Source organism: Homo sapiens, chromosome 2 (genome assembly GCF_000001405.40).
Source record: "Homo sapiens chromosome 2, GRCh38.p14 Primary Assembly".
NCBI classification, from domain to species: Eukaryota; Metazoa; Chordata; class Mammalia; order Primates; family Hominidae; genus Homo; species Homo sapiens.
Window position 1 is genome coordinate 58,895,268 of NC_000002.12, and position 16,571 is coordinate 58,911,838.

The following is a 16,571-nucleotide window of genomic DNA, read 5'->3' on the forward strand; positions in this document are numbered from 1 at the left end:
GAGAAGACAGAAGGAAGAAGCTCCCTTGTACAGAGACAGAGGGAGGGGGGCTCCAAAGCCGAAAGAGGAGGTCCCCCTGTTGTTTTGTTTCATTAGAGTGCCATGTCTTTCTTCCTTCTTGAGTTGAACTCTAGAAATAAAGATGTTATATCATGGACACAGAAATGTGCTCAACTCTAATGAAGATTGTATTATTATTATCATTTTTTTACAGTGAGACTGTAGTGTGCCTTAACTACACCAGCTGTTAATTGTATTTTTTTAAGTCCTTCTGATATTCATTTGAAATGCATTTTATAACTCATCTGGTAACCTTGCTGCTAACCAACAATTATAGTCTGACATTTGAATACAAAGAATTTGGGACAAGCCACAGTTGTACATGGAAACTTTTAAAACAATGTCTCCCTTAATATATTCCTTAGTGAAAAACATTGTGAAGAAATGATTATAGCCTCACTAAATTCTGACATGCTGAAAAAATGTCTGTTCATTCTTTGAAAATTTCTACCAACTTAGTGATTGTGAATTGAGAAAACAATAGTAATAAAACAGCCACAGGCTACACCAGGGAGCCAACCGTTCCTCCACTCCACCCTGTTCACAAACTTGACACAGCCTGGACCAATATTAATTCCAACTGTTTGAGGTGGACAGTGAGTGGGTGCCATTCACAATGTGGTTTCTTCGGAGACTGAAGAATCTGGAATCAAATTGATAGGATTATTAGAGTCTGAAGCAGGCTGCTATGGGCAGTTGTGGGTTTTTGTACTTAGGCACCAGGCCGAGTAGGCAAGTGTGAGCTGGAATCTAGCCCTGGTACTGCTTGCCAAGCTGCATGCCCCAGCCTGGGGCTGCATCAGCCGAGAGGAAAGGGCCATTCTGCAATTCATCTGCCAGGGTGGAGTGCCTTTTTGTAACTTGCACAAAGATATACTGTGCGCTAGAGGTGGCCTTGGATGGAAATAACTGTTGTGGGAGATCCTGTCTTCCCCATTGCTATTGTGTATATGAAACACTCCTGGACTCTAACAACCCCTTCATTAACCCACCCCTATTAGTGAGAGGAGAGATGAGTTATCGATCTGATGGCAGAGTCTTGAAGGAGAAACTAAACATGGGCAGCTCTATCCCTTTTCCTGTCTTTCTCTCTTTAGGGAACTAGCTGCCCATAGACAGCATACATCCTCTAGGTGTATGCAGGAGGTAAGGAAAGGAGGGATGAGAGGCCTGACCCAGTGGTCTTGGAAATTAGAGTCTAATTCCAGGAAACTCAGCTGCACATCTCTCCCAACCTTGCTTTCTTCAGTAAGTAAGGTTCTAATTTGGCCCCCATCTGCTTACTTCTTTGTCTTATTTTTTTAGTTGCTTTAGAATTCAGGAAAAGGGGTGCTATTTATTGAGCTTCCAAGAAGATCTTAGAGACCATATAATTCCCCATTTCCCTCCACACCCACACTTATAACAGAATTGTTCGTTCCAGCAAAAGCCACGAACTAGTGGGCCATTGGCCAAGTGTAGCCTACATCATATTTTGTTTGGCACAGAGAGTGTCTTTTGAAAATAATTGCACCAACATTTAAAAATGAGAGGTTGCATGTGCACATCAAGAATTCTGACCTTTCTTAAAAAATAAAATTGGAAAATCTGGCCACATCAGTCCTGCCTCTCCACATGGCAACAATCAGCTAGAGTTGTACTCCCATTTCCATGGAGCATTTACTCTCGTTTTCCTCTGTCTTCTCCATTCTCTTTTGGCTCATGGGCTAAGGCTGGGTGTCAGCCACCATTTATCATTCCTCTCTCAGTTTTTGTTTAGAAGTAAATGAATGTCCCTTTACTCTTCTGTCCCTTTCAAAAGTCTATTGAGAAGTCTCCATTTATGAAGAAACAAGAAACATGGGAGAGAGCAAATGTCTTTATGGAACCATAGATTATTTCCATATGTTTAACATGTATTTTTTTTTCCTGGATGATTCACATATTATGCCACCTACCTGGCTTCTGTAGATATTTGGGATTTCTTAGTGAAAGTCTTTATGCTTTTCTTAAAATACAACACATGAAAAGGAATTCACTGCTATATGGAAGCTCTTCCTTTTCTTAATACCTGCTCCCTGCACCTTACACACAATGGTATTGGCTCAGCCACCTCAAGCCAAATGAAGAAATATGCGTCTGTTAGCTCATAAGGTGTTCACTAATATTTCTTGTCCTCCTTTTGGATGTGGTAGAATTTCACCTTCTCTAAACCTTTAAAGTTAACCATGACAGATTGACTTGCATCAGCCAACAAAATGGCCACAGAAGGGATAGGTTATTTTCAGAAAAAACTTGTGAGAATCAGTGTGAAGTGAACAATTAGCCTCTTTTCTTCCTTTCTGTGAAAAGGACTCTACAGAAAACAGAGGCTCCTTCAGCCTGTGTGCCTGAGTGTGTTGACTGTCTCAACTGTCACCTTCACCTCACCTCAGATCAGAGATGGACAGGTAGTGCTAGTGAGGGTGGAAAAAAAGAACTTTGTTGTTTTAAGTCCCTGAAATTTTAAGGTTTTCTGTTAGTATTGCAAGCCTGGTCTATATTGATAGATACACCCCTTCTTCCGTTTGGCAGTTCTGGTATTTGAAGATCATTCCATTGCCTTTATTTTATGATTCTCTGGAATAAACTTCCATTTGATGCATGCATGATATATTTTCTAAATATGCTCCAAGTTCCCATCCCATTCCATTGAAGAAAATCTTTCTCAAGATAATATTCCTATGGTCAGCACTGCCAACAGCTGCAGAACAATCCAGAACAGGGAGTGAAATCTGCCTCGAAGCCAGAAAAAGAACACTGTGACACATTCCATATTCAAAAATATGTCACATTGGGCCTGTTTGCTATTTTATGTGGCCCTGGGTTGTCTGTGATAGGGGCAGCAAGAAACCTGTTGTAGAAAGCACAGTTACCATCCATCGCTGAGAAAAATTGGAGGCATTCTTCAAACTTTCCAGCTCCCCACTGAGTTCCTGCCATGCCTGAAAGTCTCCAAACTGTCCTTGAACTTGCTGCTATATTCAGCCTTTATCTGAAACCCTACACTTGCTTGGTGGAGTGAGTTCCAAGGTTTACTGACTAGTGTGAAACTGAGTAGTCCCTTTATTGTTTCTGAAGAACATCTTCCAAAATTCAGGAAATACGCTCTTGTTCTAGTACTTTGATAATTGTATAGGCTTGAACTCTATAACCTTTTATTACATGAACCTTCCTTGTCCTACCAAAGGAAAATAACGTATTTTCCATTTGGGGGTTATTTACAAGGATTTAAAAACATTCTTCATAACTCATCAGAATTAAAATATTATCCAATATAATATTTTTAAATGAATTTTATCCATCAATCCATCTGTTTACCTATGTTAGTGTCTCCTTTTCTATTTTTGTCCCAATGTGTGTTTGGATGATGTGATGAGTAGCAAGGAGGAGCTAAATGAGAACTGCAGAGAGGAAACAAAATCGCTGTTATTTGTCCTTATAAACCTTGTAGTCTCTCCCCTCTTCCTAGTCCCTATTCAGGAGAACAGAGAGATGAAGGCTGAAGGTTCCAAAGGTCAGTGTGATACACTGGGCTTATCATAGATATTTCAGTGGGAAAACCATTTTGATCTCCTGCCTGCTGATTATAACTTTGGGCGAGGTACAATAGGAAGAACTTGAAATTCTGCAGTAAGAAGGTTCCAGCTCCAGCTCTGGAGGTAATTAGGTCATTTGGCTTGTCTAAGCCTCACTTTCCTAGTTTGTAAGACTTCTACTCTACTTACCTCATTGAGGTCACCTGAGATTCCAGTGCAACATCTACAGATGCATTGCCTTAAAGTGGACTACTGTGAATGTGCTAAACTGTTTCAATTAGGATTCTTTCAGGCTGCCAGCAAGTAGAGGCATGTTTTTAGGAAGGGAAGATTTTCCCAAAAACTTTTTAGAAGGCCCCTATTGGCCTTGTGTCCCTGCGATTTCTCCCTCTGTGACCCTTTTCAGGCAACAGCACCAAAGAGTCCTAGTGAGGCTTGTCTCCAGCACCAGGTAATTTTTACATCTTTCCCAGCTTCAAATGCAAGCCCCTAAGGAATTCAGTCTCCCTATGCCCCTCCACATACTGTTTGCTGAGTTTATGTGGGAGGTCCCTGAGGTTATACAACCTAGAAGAGCTAATGTCTGAGACAGCAAAGAGATCGAGCTTCTGGCTTTGCTCAGAGATTGGACTTTTCTGGTGTGAGAGGCCTCAGTGGAAGGATCATAATGCACTGGGAGCAGTAAGGTACTGGAAGGAAAGGAAGGCTTCCAAGTGCTGAGGGCAGGCCACGTAGCCACCAGAATCTCTTTTCTTTCTCCACAGTGAGACGTATCCCTTCACTCCATCTCCTACTTGTGTCACCAGGGACATATTTTTTTCCATTTGTAAATCAGACAAACGAGATTTAAGGATTTCGAGGGCAGTCCTGAGCACTTGGTTGGTAGTATTTTCTTTGGGCAGGGACTAGGCACTTTCCAGCTTATTTTCTGGATACTCAGAAGTTTCCCAAACGTTACTCTGAGGGCCGTGTAGAAATACACTCTTCTGTCAGGCTTTGGTTTCTGAAGTGTGAATTCCTGTGACTCATGGCTGTCGTCTTATTTCTCATTTTTAAAAAATGAGAATTATGTGGAAGCCAGACCAACTGTTGTGGACTGAATTGGTAAAAGAAAAAGAAATTGGATTCCAGGTGATCCAGTCCGTCCTCTCTGAGAAAGCAGATTGTGGATGAAAACATGGGCATAAATGAATCAACATATATTACCTTTGTAATATGTCTTCCCATCATCAGTGTGTTCATAATAGGAATATATAAGCTAGAGGGAAGACTTTGTGATCTATGCCTCAGATTTATCTGCACTCCCGGAGTCGCTGCTTAACTAACCTTGCCCTGCCCTGCACCATCCTTCATCCCTGCAAAGTAAATAAATGGAGTTCCCCTCAGCTTTTTTTCTTAATTAGCTATCAAAATTTGAGGTGTCACCCAGGCTTTGAAGACCCCTCTGACTCTGTTTTAAGAATGTGGGGGTTGTCCTGCTGTCCTTGGCCAACTCTTCCCCTCTCCTATCAGTGGTCTCCAAGATGAATGCAGCCGCACACGCGTTTCCTGCCTGGCTCCCACCACCAGTTTCAGAGATGGCGGAGCTCCTGGCCTCTGTTTGTATATAGAGCTGTCTGAAATGCATTCGGGATCTCTTGAGGTGAAAAGAGTTATATAAACAGAGAATGTTATTATGGATTCTTACTACAGATGGAAATGACTGGGTATTCTCAAAATAAATAACATTTCACATTTTTATAGATATGTAACATAATATGCATGTGTGTGTGTATTTATATTCTTTCCATCTTGAATACACAGCCTCTCCTTCCTCAGCACTTGGATAAGCCATTCATTTTGCCTCCTGCTTTTTTGATTCTCTTCTTAAGAATTCATTTAATTGTTGCCAGCATTTGGAGAGTTAGGATGAAGCGGTTATAGGCTTCCTGCTAGCTCCCGCCAGATAAGCCTGCCGTGGCTGTAGCAGTTAGGAGAGCTGAATGCTGAAAACACTTAAGTTCTGTTTTTCCACTTCCCCTCTAAAGAGAGATCAATCGGCTAGTAGCTCAGCATAATTACAAATGGAAACTTCCTAGAAGTGGTGCCCAGAGTTACAGGATTCAGTGTAAGGCACCTAGACCTCGAAGTTACTTGTTTAGATATAGTGGGTGCCTCCTCCTCCTTTTATTGAATCTGTATATTTATTTTCCTTGAGTTCCAGAGGACATAGCATGCCATATCTCATTTACATTAATCTACTTTCAGTTAAACATACAAGTGAATGTAGGTAAATGAATGATAGGATTATCACTTTCATAATGGTGCCATTCCCACAAGGAAAATCCCAAGTATTGGGACCCCATGCCTGGGGTTTGCAGAAAAGAGCAAAGATGCCAAAAATTTATCCTGAGCCAGGGAAGAGGAAGATTGGCATCCACAAGTCCAGGCAACACAAGGCAGGCAACAGCTGGCTTTGCCAGCTCCACCTGGCTCCAATAAAGGACTGGCTGCCATCCTTGGCAATGGCTGGTGGGAGAGACAGACAAAAGCCAACTTCTCCGAGGCTGGCCAGTTCTGGTGGAAGAAGGTGGAGGAAGGAGAGGTAGCTGGGTGAGAGGGCCTCGGGCCCTCAGTATAGTGCTGAGAAAATGACTGACTTGGGGGAATTCAGGCCAATTATAGAGTGATCCTTTCACACCCAGCCATCTGGAGATGCCTGTAAGGGGATGGAGCCTGTAATTGGGAAGCTAACCTAAATGACAACTTCCAAATTTTAAGGAGATTTGATAAAATTTTAAGCTAAGTTTTACTGAGTGCCTACTATGTAAGCAGGCTTTTTGATAGGTGCTGTGGTCAATAATAACAATAGTCATAATGATGGTGATAACAAGATGATGATGATGGTATATTGCTAAACTTAAATGAGCACTTACTAGGTGCCAGATTGTGTTATGTGCCTCAGCCCCTTTGATTCTCATCCTTCTTTTAAAATCAGGAAATCAAGACTTAGGGAGTTAAAGTAATGTGCCCAGGATCATAGAATTAGATGATATTGCTGGAATTTGAACCCAAGCAGTTCAACTCTTAATCTCTATTCTAGATTAGGCTGAAAATTATATGGGGTTGTACTTAAGGAACTAATAGTAAATAAGAAACTACATAATAATGATGATAGAAATAATTAATAGTAATAACAATAATACAGTAGAACCCCACAGTAATGCACTCTGCAACAAAGTAAATTCAGATATAACACACTTGAATATTCAATTTCATTCCTGGCTTTGAACTCACTTACACTAAAAATTAACTGCACAAACCCCTAATCTATATTTTTAGAATTATTATTTTTGGATCCCATTCAGAGTGATCTGGAGGAATATCACTATATAATATTAGTATAACAATAGCAGTAATAGCTGATTTCAATGGTATACAAGAGTAGCTGGTTTTTATGGACCATGTACCATGAAGCCATTAATTCTAGTTCTTACAACCAGCCCCCAGAAAAGTAAATAATGTTATCCCTGATAGAGAGATGAAGGTCATGAAGCTTACATTATCTGCTCAAAGTTGAGTAAGTTAAGTGGAGAGCTAGGATTGGAATTGACTCAGAATGAGTCTCATATGAGACTCACTATGCCATCTATATTGCCTCTCTCCAATAAAATGGGATATATGAAAAGATTGCATATGGTACAGTTACACAGAGGAGAGAGCATATTTAATTTTAAGGAATGGGTTTGTATCAGAGAGAGAGAGAGCTAACATGTACTGAGTTCTTACTACATGCCAGTCACACTACTGAGCACGTAGCCTGTATTCTTTCATTTAATCTTTGTAAAAACTGAGTCAAGCTTTATGGATGAACAAGAACCATCCAGAGAGACTGTGAATGAGAGGTGACTAGTCCAAGTTGAACGAATAGTATGTAGAAAGGCCTAGAGCCATGAAATATCATGATGTGTTTGGCAGAGCTAAAATCATTTTGGTTTTACATGAGCATAAAAGATAGTGCAGAAAGGCAGTATGTGGTTGTGGGGGAATAGAAGATAGTGGGGATCAGAGATGGAGTTATAAAGATAGAACTGTGATGACATTCTGAAAGGCCTTGGACCTGGCCCTTGTCCTACAGATAGTATTTGGGTGGCAGAGTGGAGGGAGAAACAAGTCCAGGTAGAAATTTAATTTTCTCAAAAAATCTTGAAAGGTGGAGCTATTATCTCATTTCATTGTAATCAGTAAGGAAACATGATGCCCAGATAGAAAGAGGAAAGAACTTAGCCAAGATTTTGCAATTTGCAAATGGCAGAGCTGGGCTTCAAACCCACTTCTCTCTGGCTCAAAAACCCACATTTCTTTTACAATCCCAAGATGTATCACTTTACGTAGCTCAGTTCTAGAGCTTGGAAAGGAAATGAATAGAAAGAAGGTAGACAGAAAGTGCTCAGCAACTTTAGATCTACTTATACAAGACTGTCCTTGTGTTGCCAAAATAAATTGCTTTTTTCTTATAGATTTTTATTACAATTACCAATGTTACCATTGCCACTATGAATTTTAAAAAGGTCAATCAAGAAAGATGATATTGTAAGATGGAGTCACACAGAACCTGAAGAAAATGATCAAGTAATGGTAGAGCCTCTCTAACTTCTGTCACTAGCTAGGCTGCCGCTACTTACATTTAGAAAGCAGGGCTTCCAAGAATTGCTGGGGCAGGTCATGCATGCACAATGATACCCAGTGAGGATAAAAATCATACTTGCATTTGACTCACCTGTCCCAGCACTGAGTTGTTTCTACCCTGAGGAAAGCACCCATTTTTCATACATAGGAGCCATACAGGTTAGCAGAAGTCACCGTCATGAAAGAAGCATCAATAAATCAGCAGTTCCCATTAAAAGTTTTACCTGGTCTCCACATTTTGCATAAAAAAGCACCACTGTACCCATTGTTTGCATAATTTCAGCAATGCTAGCATTTAACTTCTAGTTTAATGGTACATTCAACCTTTACCCCAAATTATTGTTTACTCTCCAAAGCTTTTGATTTTCTTGATTGACACTCCAGATTATTTTGTTTGGTTTTGTTTTTGCTTTTGTTTTATCCTTATAAGTGTGGAAAAGAACTGTGGCACAGGAGTCTGATGATTCACTCTTCTACTCAATATTTAGCAGAACTATGCCATATTGGTTACTTTCTCAGAATTCCATCTTACTCAGCTTTGAATTGAGCATAATAATACCTACTTCCCAAGGATTTTTAATGGGAAGTGTCTGACTTGGAGTGAGACCTAAAAAGTGGTCATGATTATTGGGGTGTTATATAATAAACAGTCAAGATTACACAGGTTTATCTTCACCCAACCTGGCTTAAAACTGCTATCACTCCAGATCCCCCCAAGTGACAGGTTTACTACAAGGACAAATAATGAATTATGGATTCAAAATGGGGAAGTGGTAAGGGGCATATAAGAACTCCTTTTCCAGGTGGCCTGACTCCACACCAACTCCGAACCCTATTTTTTTGCTAGCTTTCTTTTGAACCTTTCCTTGAAGGAAATCCAACTAGTTTTTTTTTATCATAGTTTTAATAGTTTATTATAGTTTTTTATTATATTTATATGTATGAAGCTAAACATTAAAATTGCATGTAATGTATATTTAGATTATACATTAATGTAAGTATCTTCTTGTCTCTTACAAGTCTTTGCTCAAACGGATTAATACCCTCTCAGTGTGGTCTACCCTGACCACTCAGTATAAAATCCAGTCTTGCCCACAGAACACCTTCTCCCTTTCCTGTTTTATTTTTTTCTCTCTTTAGCATCTCTCACGTTCTCATATGCTACATAATTGTTGTTTTGTTCATGTTTTGTTTACTCTCTCTTTTCCACAAGAATATATGCCACATGAGGGCAAGGATTTTGCTCTTTTATCTTGGTAGCCTTTTCCCCAGGGCCTAGAAGAGTGCCTGGAATTTGTAGGAGCTTAATGGTGAAGAAATAAAATTATATTATGGTTGCTTTCCCCACTAATTTCTAGGACCTGAGAGTTTACATATTTTATTGAAAGTTGTCAATAAAATGCTTTTTTTGGAGAGTCGATACACCTACAGACATAGAGGTCCTAATTAGCATCTAAAAATTTTACGTAGCCCATCGTTTATGAAAACCAAAGTAAACTCCCACTTGTCCAGAATAATGCATTTTCTCCTGGGATGAGAAGCCTGAAGGTTGCCTCTGCCTATTTCATGAAAAGGAATAAAATGTAGAACTATCTCTTCCATCTATAATTTTTTTCCCACCCTATTATTGGTAACTTCTAAGATTATAATGTCAATCTGAGATATTGTGTAATGGATAGTAATTAAAGGCTTAAATCTTGACTCAAACAATGAAGTAATGCTGCTCTGAAAGGGGAAAGAAAAACTAAGGTCCATCTCTTCCAAATCTCTCGATGTGGAAGTGCTTGTTTGTAAATTGTCAACTCTGTGTGTATGTGTATGTATTTCTTCTTAAATGATGATTATTTTGGGCAAGTGAAGAGCTTTGATTGTGTCATCTGTGCATAAAATTAGTATGAAAGTAATGAGTTTTTTTTGGTGATTCACTGAATTGTCAGGTGCTAGTTAAATGGCTAAGGCAAAGTCAAGTGACAAAGATTTTCTTAAATCTTTGTTTCAAAGTAATGTAATGGAAACACAGATAAATTTCAATATGATTGTGTTAAAGAAACATTTAGCAAGACAGCAAATAGATGTGTGTGGGTCAAATGGGAGGATGGGTAACTTTAGTACAGGGAAATATAAAATAGTGCATATTCAAGATCATGGACAGTTTAATCATATACATATAAACAGGGACAACCCAGTTTATTTGTTGACTTACTGCTTTTATATTTTATCCTGGAACTCTACTCTATTTTGTTTAATTGACAATGGTTTCTATTTCCCTCTCCTTGAGTAACTATTTTTCATTCCCGAGTTTGGGGGTGGGAAGAGGCTTAAAATATCAGTAAGACAAATGGGAAGAAAGGCGAAACTATCTTTGTCTGCAGGTTATATAACCTGTGTTTATTATGTTTATAAGGGATGAAGATATAGCCACTATAGTATCCAGAAAAAGAGAATCATATTGGTTGGTTCCCATGTGTAGGAAGCATTTCAGGCTGAGCACAGTGAACTTACTAGAGTGCTATCCTCAGCTGATGGAAGCTGAGCTTATGTTGTAAGCAGTGCATATTATTGTATAAAATTTACTGCAAAGGGGAGTGATATGAATAGAGAATGTATACAGTAGCTTACTGCGTGCTAGCAGGTCTTTTCTGGGCTCCTAAATGTTAACTGGATAGTAATGTAAGTTATTACACTCATTAAATTAGGCCACAAACAAGTCAACAGTGATTCAGCAAAATGGCTTTGTTTGTATAGTGCAAGGAAGTCTGATAGATATCCAGTCACACATTTATGGCTAAATGGATGAAGATTTTAACATTACAGCCTAATAAAAACCCCATACTGTGTGATTAAATAAGAGGGAAAGCAGTAAAAAAGAGAACGCGTAATGACGGTAACATGTAGGTCAGTTACAATTTAATTGTCATTGCACTTCATTGCTAACATATCAATTCTCTGCTGCTTAGCTGAGCAGAAAACAACAACTTAACATGTACACTGGGCCCACTGACGAGTCGTCAAACCCCCACTTCCATCACCTGCTTTTGACTACTTCCTTAACAACCACGTGAAGTCTTCCTGCTTTAATAGGATAATCTTGCTGAAAGCTCCTGCTGATTGTTTCTTCCTATGCTCAATGCATCAGTGATCAGTAAATTTACTTCACACTCTACATAGATGCTAAAATTAGATTGTTTGCATTACAACTTTCAATACTTCTGCAACAAGAAACACCTGCCTGCAGATTTATATTGTTTTGTTTAATGGTTTAAAATAAAGATAGCCTCACAGTGGCGATACCTTGATGTACTATATCGGAGGCACACAATGGCTGATCATTTTTCTTACTTATCCAGTTTGTACTGTATTTCTTGCCATATAAGGTATAGCTTCATTATCATTAATTGCAGCTTTAGAAAAACCGAGGAAGTATTTATTCTTGCCAACTTTGCTGCAATTTTACTTATTCAATGCAACTAAGAAATGAGGGGGGTAGAAAAGCGCAGTATATTTAACATTTTTTTCCCTGAATCTGGATAATTCACACAGATCTCAAAGAGGCTTTGGCACCTTTTTAAAATGTTAGCTCTAGAGAATTGTCTGCCTAGCATACTTATGGTGATCTATAGTAAAGACTTAACCGAGTACATAACCAAACTATTAATTCAGGTGCCTAAGGTGACATATTTTATCCAGCTTAGCGTAGTCTATTCCATATAGAATAGAGCACAGCTCTTGGTATAAAAAATGATCTAGCAGAAGCTAGATAATTTTATTAGAATGATTAGAAACATCAACATTTTTTTCTCATTTCAAATCTCATTTTAATTCAGATTTCTGGGAATCAGGCCCATAGATTCCAAATGTTTCAAGTATGTTCTACTGGTAGATTTTCTTCCCTTTGCACCTCATTTTACCTATTTAGATGGAATCATGTGTCATCTAAGGGCAAGAATAAGGTCCTATAGTTCAAGATCATGGACAAGCAGAGCAAAATCCCCAGGAACAAATTCTATCTCTAGAATGATATCTAGAGGCAGTCTCCAAGCAATGAGAGTTATTAGTGATTTGGGAAGAGTCTCGTGGTTACCTCTAAGACTGGCAGCTTATGAATCTCCAATTCTGATTTAAGGGTCAGTAATTGATAGATACTAATCCAGGATTTTAATCATTAAGAAAACATTTATAAGAAAAAAGGGATGAACACAAGGAAGGCATGCTTCTTCTTTATGCACTATGGATGGAAATTCTTTCTTTGAGTTCAACCAGGGAAAGACCGAAGTAGTACAGTACTTTTGGTTTCCATGGTGCTACTTATAAAGATTATGCAAAGTGTTTAATGAATAAGTAACTCCTCTTAACACTTTGTGGATGAGACACTTAAGAGATTTGGACAAAAATAACAATATGAATAAAAAGTTATATGTGGTGGTCCAAATGCCTAGTTATCTGCATATACCCCTGTCTGCTCAACTGCACCAGGAAGATGGCTGTCTTCTATTAAGAGTATTCTTTCTTATCCTTTCTAATAACAAGTACAGGCCAAATTTGTTCCTCTAGCATGGGCAACTTCTTGTCATCTTGGATAATCGTGCCTAGTGGAATTGGTAACACTCAGACTGCCTAGAAAATGAACCCTAGCAATATGCAAAGTTGCTTATCCAGGTGAACATTCTGCAGATGCTCTAGAAAGTGAGGGAGAAAGCTGAGGAAGACCTGTCATCGCAGAACTATCCAATTAGAGTTTTTATTGGTGAGGGTTCTCTTTAGTCTTTTATTTTGATTCATTTGTTGAGTGCCCATATACGTTTTTCTCTGTCCCCATGAGAAATAAATTGTAAGTAAAAGACTCATTTTCACAAGTAACATATATTATCTGGGGGTTTGGGGGGAAAATGCATTGATTTTTCCATGAAAATGAGCTTTGGAGATTTACAAGTGCCTGGCCAGCTAAATATAGAAATGTGATAAATTCAAATTCACAACAATGGATTTAACCACATTATTGTCAAAATAATTTATTTAACCATGTATTAACTTATCTGAAATTAGCTAGAAGAAGGACTGAAGAAAGCTGAGTTTTCAAGTGTTTTCAGATACCAGCTTCAAATCATATTTACCACTTGTCTAATTTTTAAACCTTGACCAAATAATGCCATGTTCATTTTATCTTTGAATCAAAGAGAACTTGGAAAATTTCCAAATGACAAACTCTATTCACTGACTTCGAGCATAGATTTATCACCCAGAATATTAACTAGCTTGATTCTTGATACTACTTAGCTGTTTTAAATGGTAAGGCCAATCAGTGTTCTCTAGGGCTATTTTAGATTCGTCTCTCTCAAAACCTTAGGAGATTAGTATCTAAGCATGGACTGAGGGAAGCATTGCCCCATTATGCATCATGTATGTGTGTGTGTGTGTATGTGTCTGTGTGTGTATGTGTGTGTCTGTGTGTGTGTGGTGTGTGTGTGTATGTGTGTGTGTGATGTGTGTGATGATGGTTTGGCAGAATGGACTTCCACCTTCTCCAACAGCTGCCTTTTATAAGCTTATCTGAAACACTGACACAATTTTTGGAAGCTCATTAGACTTAAGAGTGATTGCAAATGAAATAGGATGCACAGTTACTCACTGACATTCATGCCTGCTTTTTAAATCTCATGCTGTATTGTTGCGGATCTTGATTTCACACTCAGATGCTTAACCCCACATTAATATGTGTCTTCTTCCTCAAGATGAACACAGTTGCCTTCCTTGCCTGGTATTATCATTCCCCACCAACAAAATGGATTGCAGGAAGTTTAGAGGGAGAAAAAACAACTGACATGTCTCAAAATTTTAACCATGATTTTTCCATGTATTCCTTAATGCAATTCATATATTTAATGCAATACATATTGTTGAGTGCCTACTATGTACAGCCCTGTCCCGGCACAATGTAGATTGTTATGGGGAATTAGCTTCTTAAATAAAAAGACAGGTATTTTCATCTCCCTAGGGTCATGCCAGATGTCTGTTTCTTTTTATCTTTCCTTATTGAATTATGTTTACCTGAATACATCAGGTTCATTTCACCTAGGCAGGATGTCCCATTAAGCATGACAAGTAGAAGGTTGCAAGATTAATGCCCTTCTTGAGCTTGAATTAGTGTGTCAGCATCTTTCCAGACCTAGGACCAGAGTATACAGGAAGTATTCCATAATGGACTTTAGCCTCTAACTGAACTGCTCTAATATTATTCCTATAACAAGACTCCTTTTAAAGAGTCTCATTATTGGCTTCATTAGATATGTTACTTGCATCAGTGGCTGTAGTTATGTGTATAATATAGGAGAGGTTAACATAGCGTATTTTTTATGTATTATATGGCATACAGCTTGAAGTAGCCAAAAGGTTTATGGCGATGTAATTGGTAGTTAGTGTGAAATTTGTAAGACAAATAGACAATATCTAGGGTAACCCCTCTAATCCTCATCTTTCAGTTTTTTACAGCCACCAAAGGGCCTCATTAAAACAGCAGTCAGCACCTTAGTGAAAAGATAACAGTGCTTAGAGTGCCCAAATGTGACAGAAAATCTGCATTTTGTAAATCTGACACCTTTGATAGATTATACAGTGTGAAGCCATTTCTTCTAAGCATTATGATAACGCTTAAGATTCTCTTCTGAATCCAACTTTGCTATATTCACCAGCTATAACAATGTGAAAAAGAGCCAATTGAATAAAATGAAGCTTAGAAGGTGAAGAGGAACCTTTTTCTATGCCACGAAGCTCTTTGCAGGCAAAGGGGCTGGAACGCAGTCATTGGCATTTCCAAGGACCACTTAATCTTGGGGGTAACATTCCTTTAAATATGAGGATGCTGCTTATGAATACGCCAGCATTTGTGTACAACAACATGTAGGCTTCTAGGACAGAGGAATAGTAGTTTTATTTTCTACATGGGAAAGATTACTGGCTTTTCATATTTTTTTAAACAGATTAATGTTTTACAAGGGTACCCAGGCTAAGGGAATTAACGAAAACCTTACTCTTCATTTCACAAAAAGACCCTGTGAAATCTGAGACTTCAGAATGAGGAGGTCCAATGCAAATGATGTAAAACCAAGCAAATCTTCTAATTTAGTTCTAGGTAGCTGCCGGAACAGAGCAGGACAAATGAAAATGACACCATGAATTGTAGAAGCATGACTGCAGTGATCTTAAGCAAAGACTGCCTCCCTTCAAGCCCTCACCATACCTTTCCCCAAGCCAGAAGATTTTGGCATGGTCCCTTTCACTCTGAGTCTCATCCCCAAGGCCTCTTTCAGAAAGATTGCATGGACAACTGACAACAAAGGTGGAAACTCAAATTGTAGGGCCTATAGAAGAAATAGTCTTCAGACATTCTGTTACATGTTAACGTACATTTTCATAGCTTCTTGGAGGAAGAAGGGAAGGCGTAGAATAAAACTTCCATATGATTTCATCTCTATATTGGCCCACAATTTGAAAATGTTTACTAATTATGATTGGGCCAAAATAGAAGGTGACCTCTCTTGAGCCCTTTGTGTCTGCCTGTGATTGAGGACTGTTCTTGTATGTATATATTTCCAGCAATTCTTACAAAAGTAGAAAAGCCCATTCCCCACTCTTCCAAGCTTTCCATCTTTCTGGTCAAATGATATTAAAATGAAGTCTTTTGTTTTAAAACTTCTAAAAAGATGACCAGACCATTTTGGCCTGTATAGTTTATGTATTTTATGATGAATTCAGATTGCTGCTTAATATAGCAGTGGAGTATCTTCAGTAAAAATTGAAAAGTAGAAGAGATGACTAAAAAGCATGTTGTGTTATTTTTGTTTTAACCCATAGCATAATAGAGTGTTATTTGTAAGCAGCTGTAATTCAAATGAAATAAAACATATCTGACCATTGTTTATATTTTAATATTGAAAGTCTTCGAGGACAGATTGATAATCATATTTAAACATGCCAAGGTAATTGCCTGTCTTTCTTGTTAGATATACTTAACCATATATACCTCCTGAAATTTCCTTTTCAGTATTTTATGTGTACTCATTTTGAATCTATTTTCTGAAAGGGTTAGGATTTTTTTTTCCCATGCGATAAAAGAAACCAGTTTTCATTTAAATGTTCCCATTTAGGTATTTGCAATTATTAATAATACAGCATACAAAAGGAAACATTTCAATGACAGGAACCTTGAAACAAATCCTTGAGAATTTGGAATGGCTATTGCTTTCTCTTATAATAATCTGGGGCCAGTCACCACTTTTGTTGAATTCAGTG

General features: G+C 38.3%; 1 long non-coding RNA gene across 1 annotated transcript in view; it reads left to right on the forward strand.

Moving 5' to 3' along the window:
- The window catches only part of LINC01122 (long intergenic non-protein coding RNA 1122), a 543,014-nt gene that overhangs the window by 374,515 nt on the left and 151,928 nt on the right, over positions 1 to 16,571 (forward strand). The window lies entirely within an intron of this gene.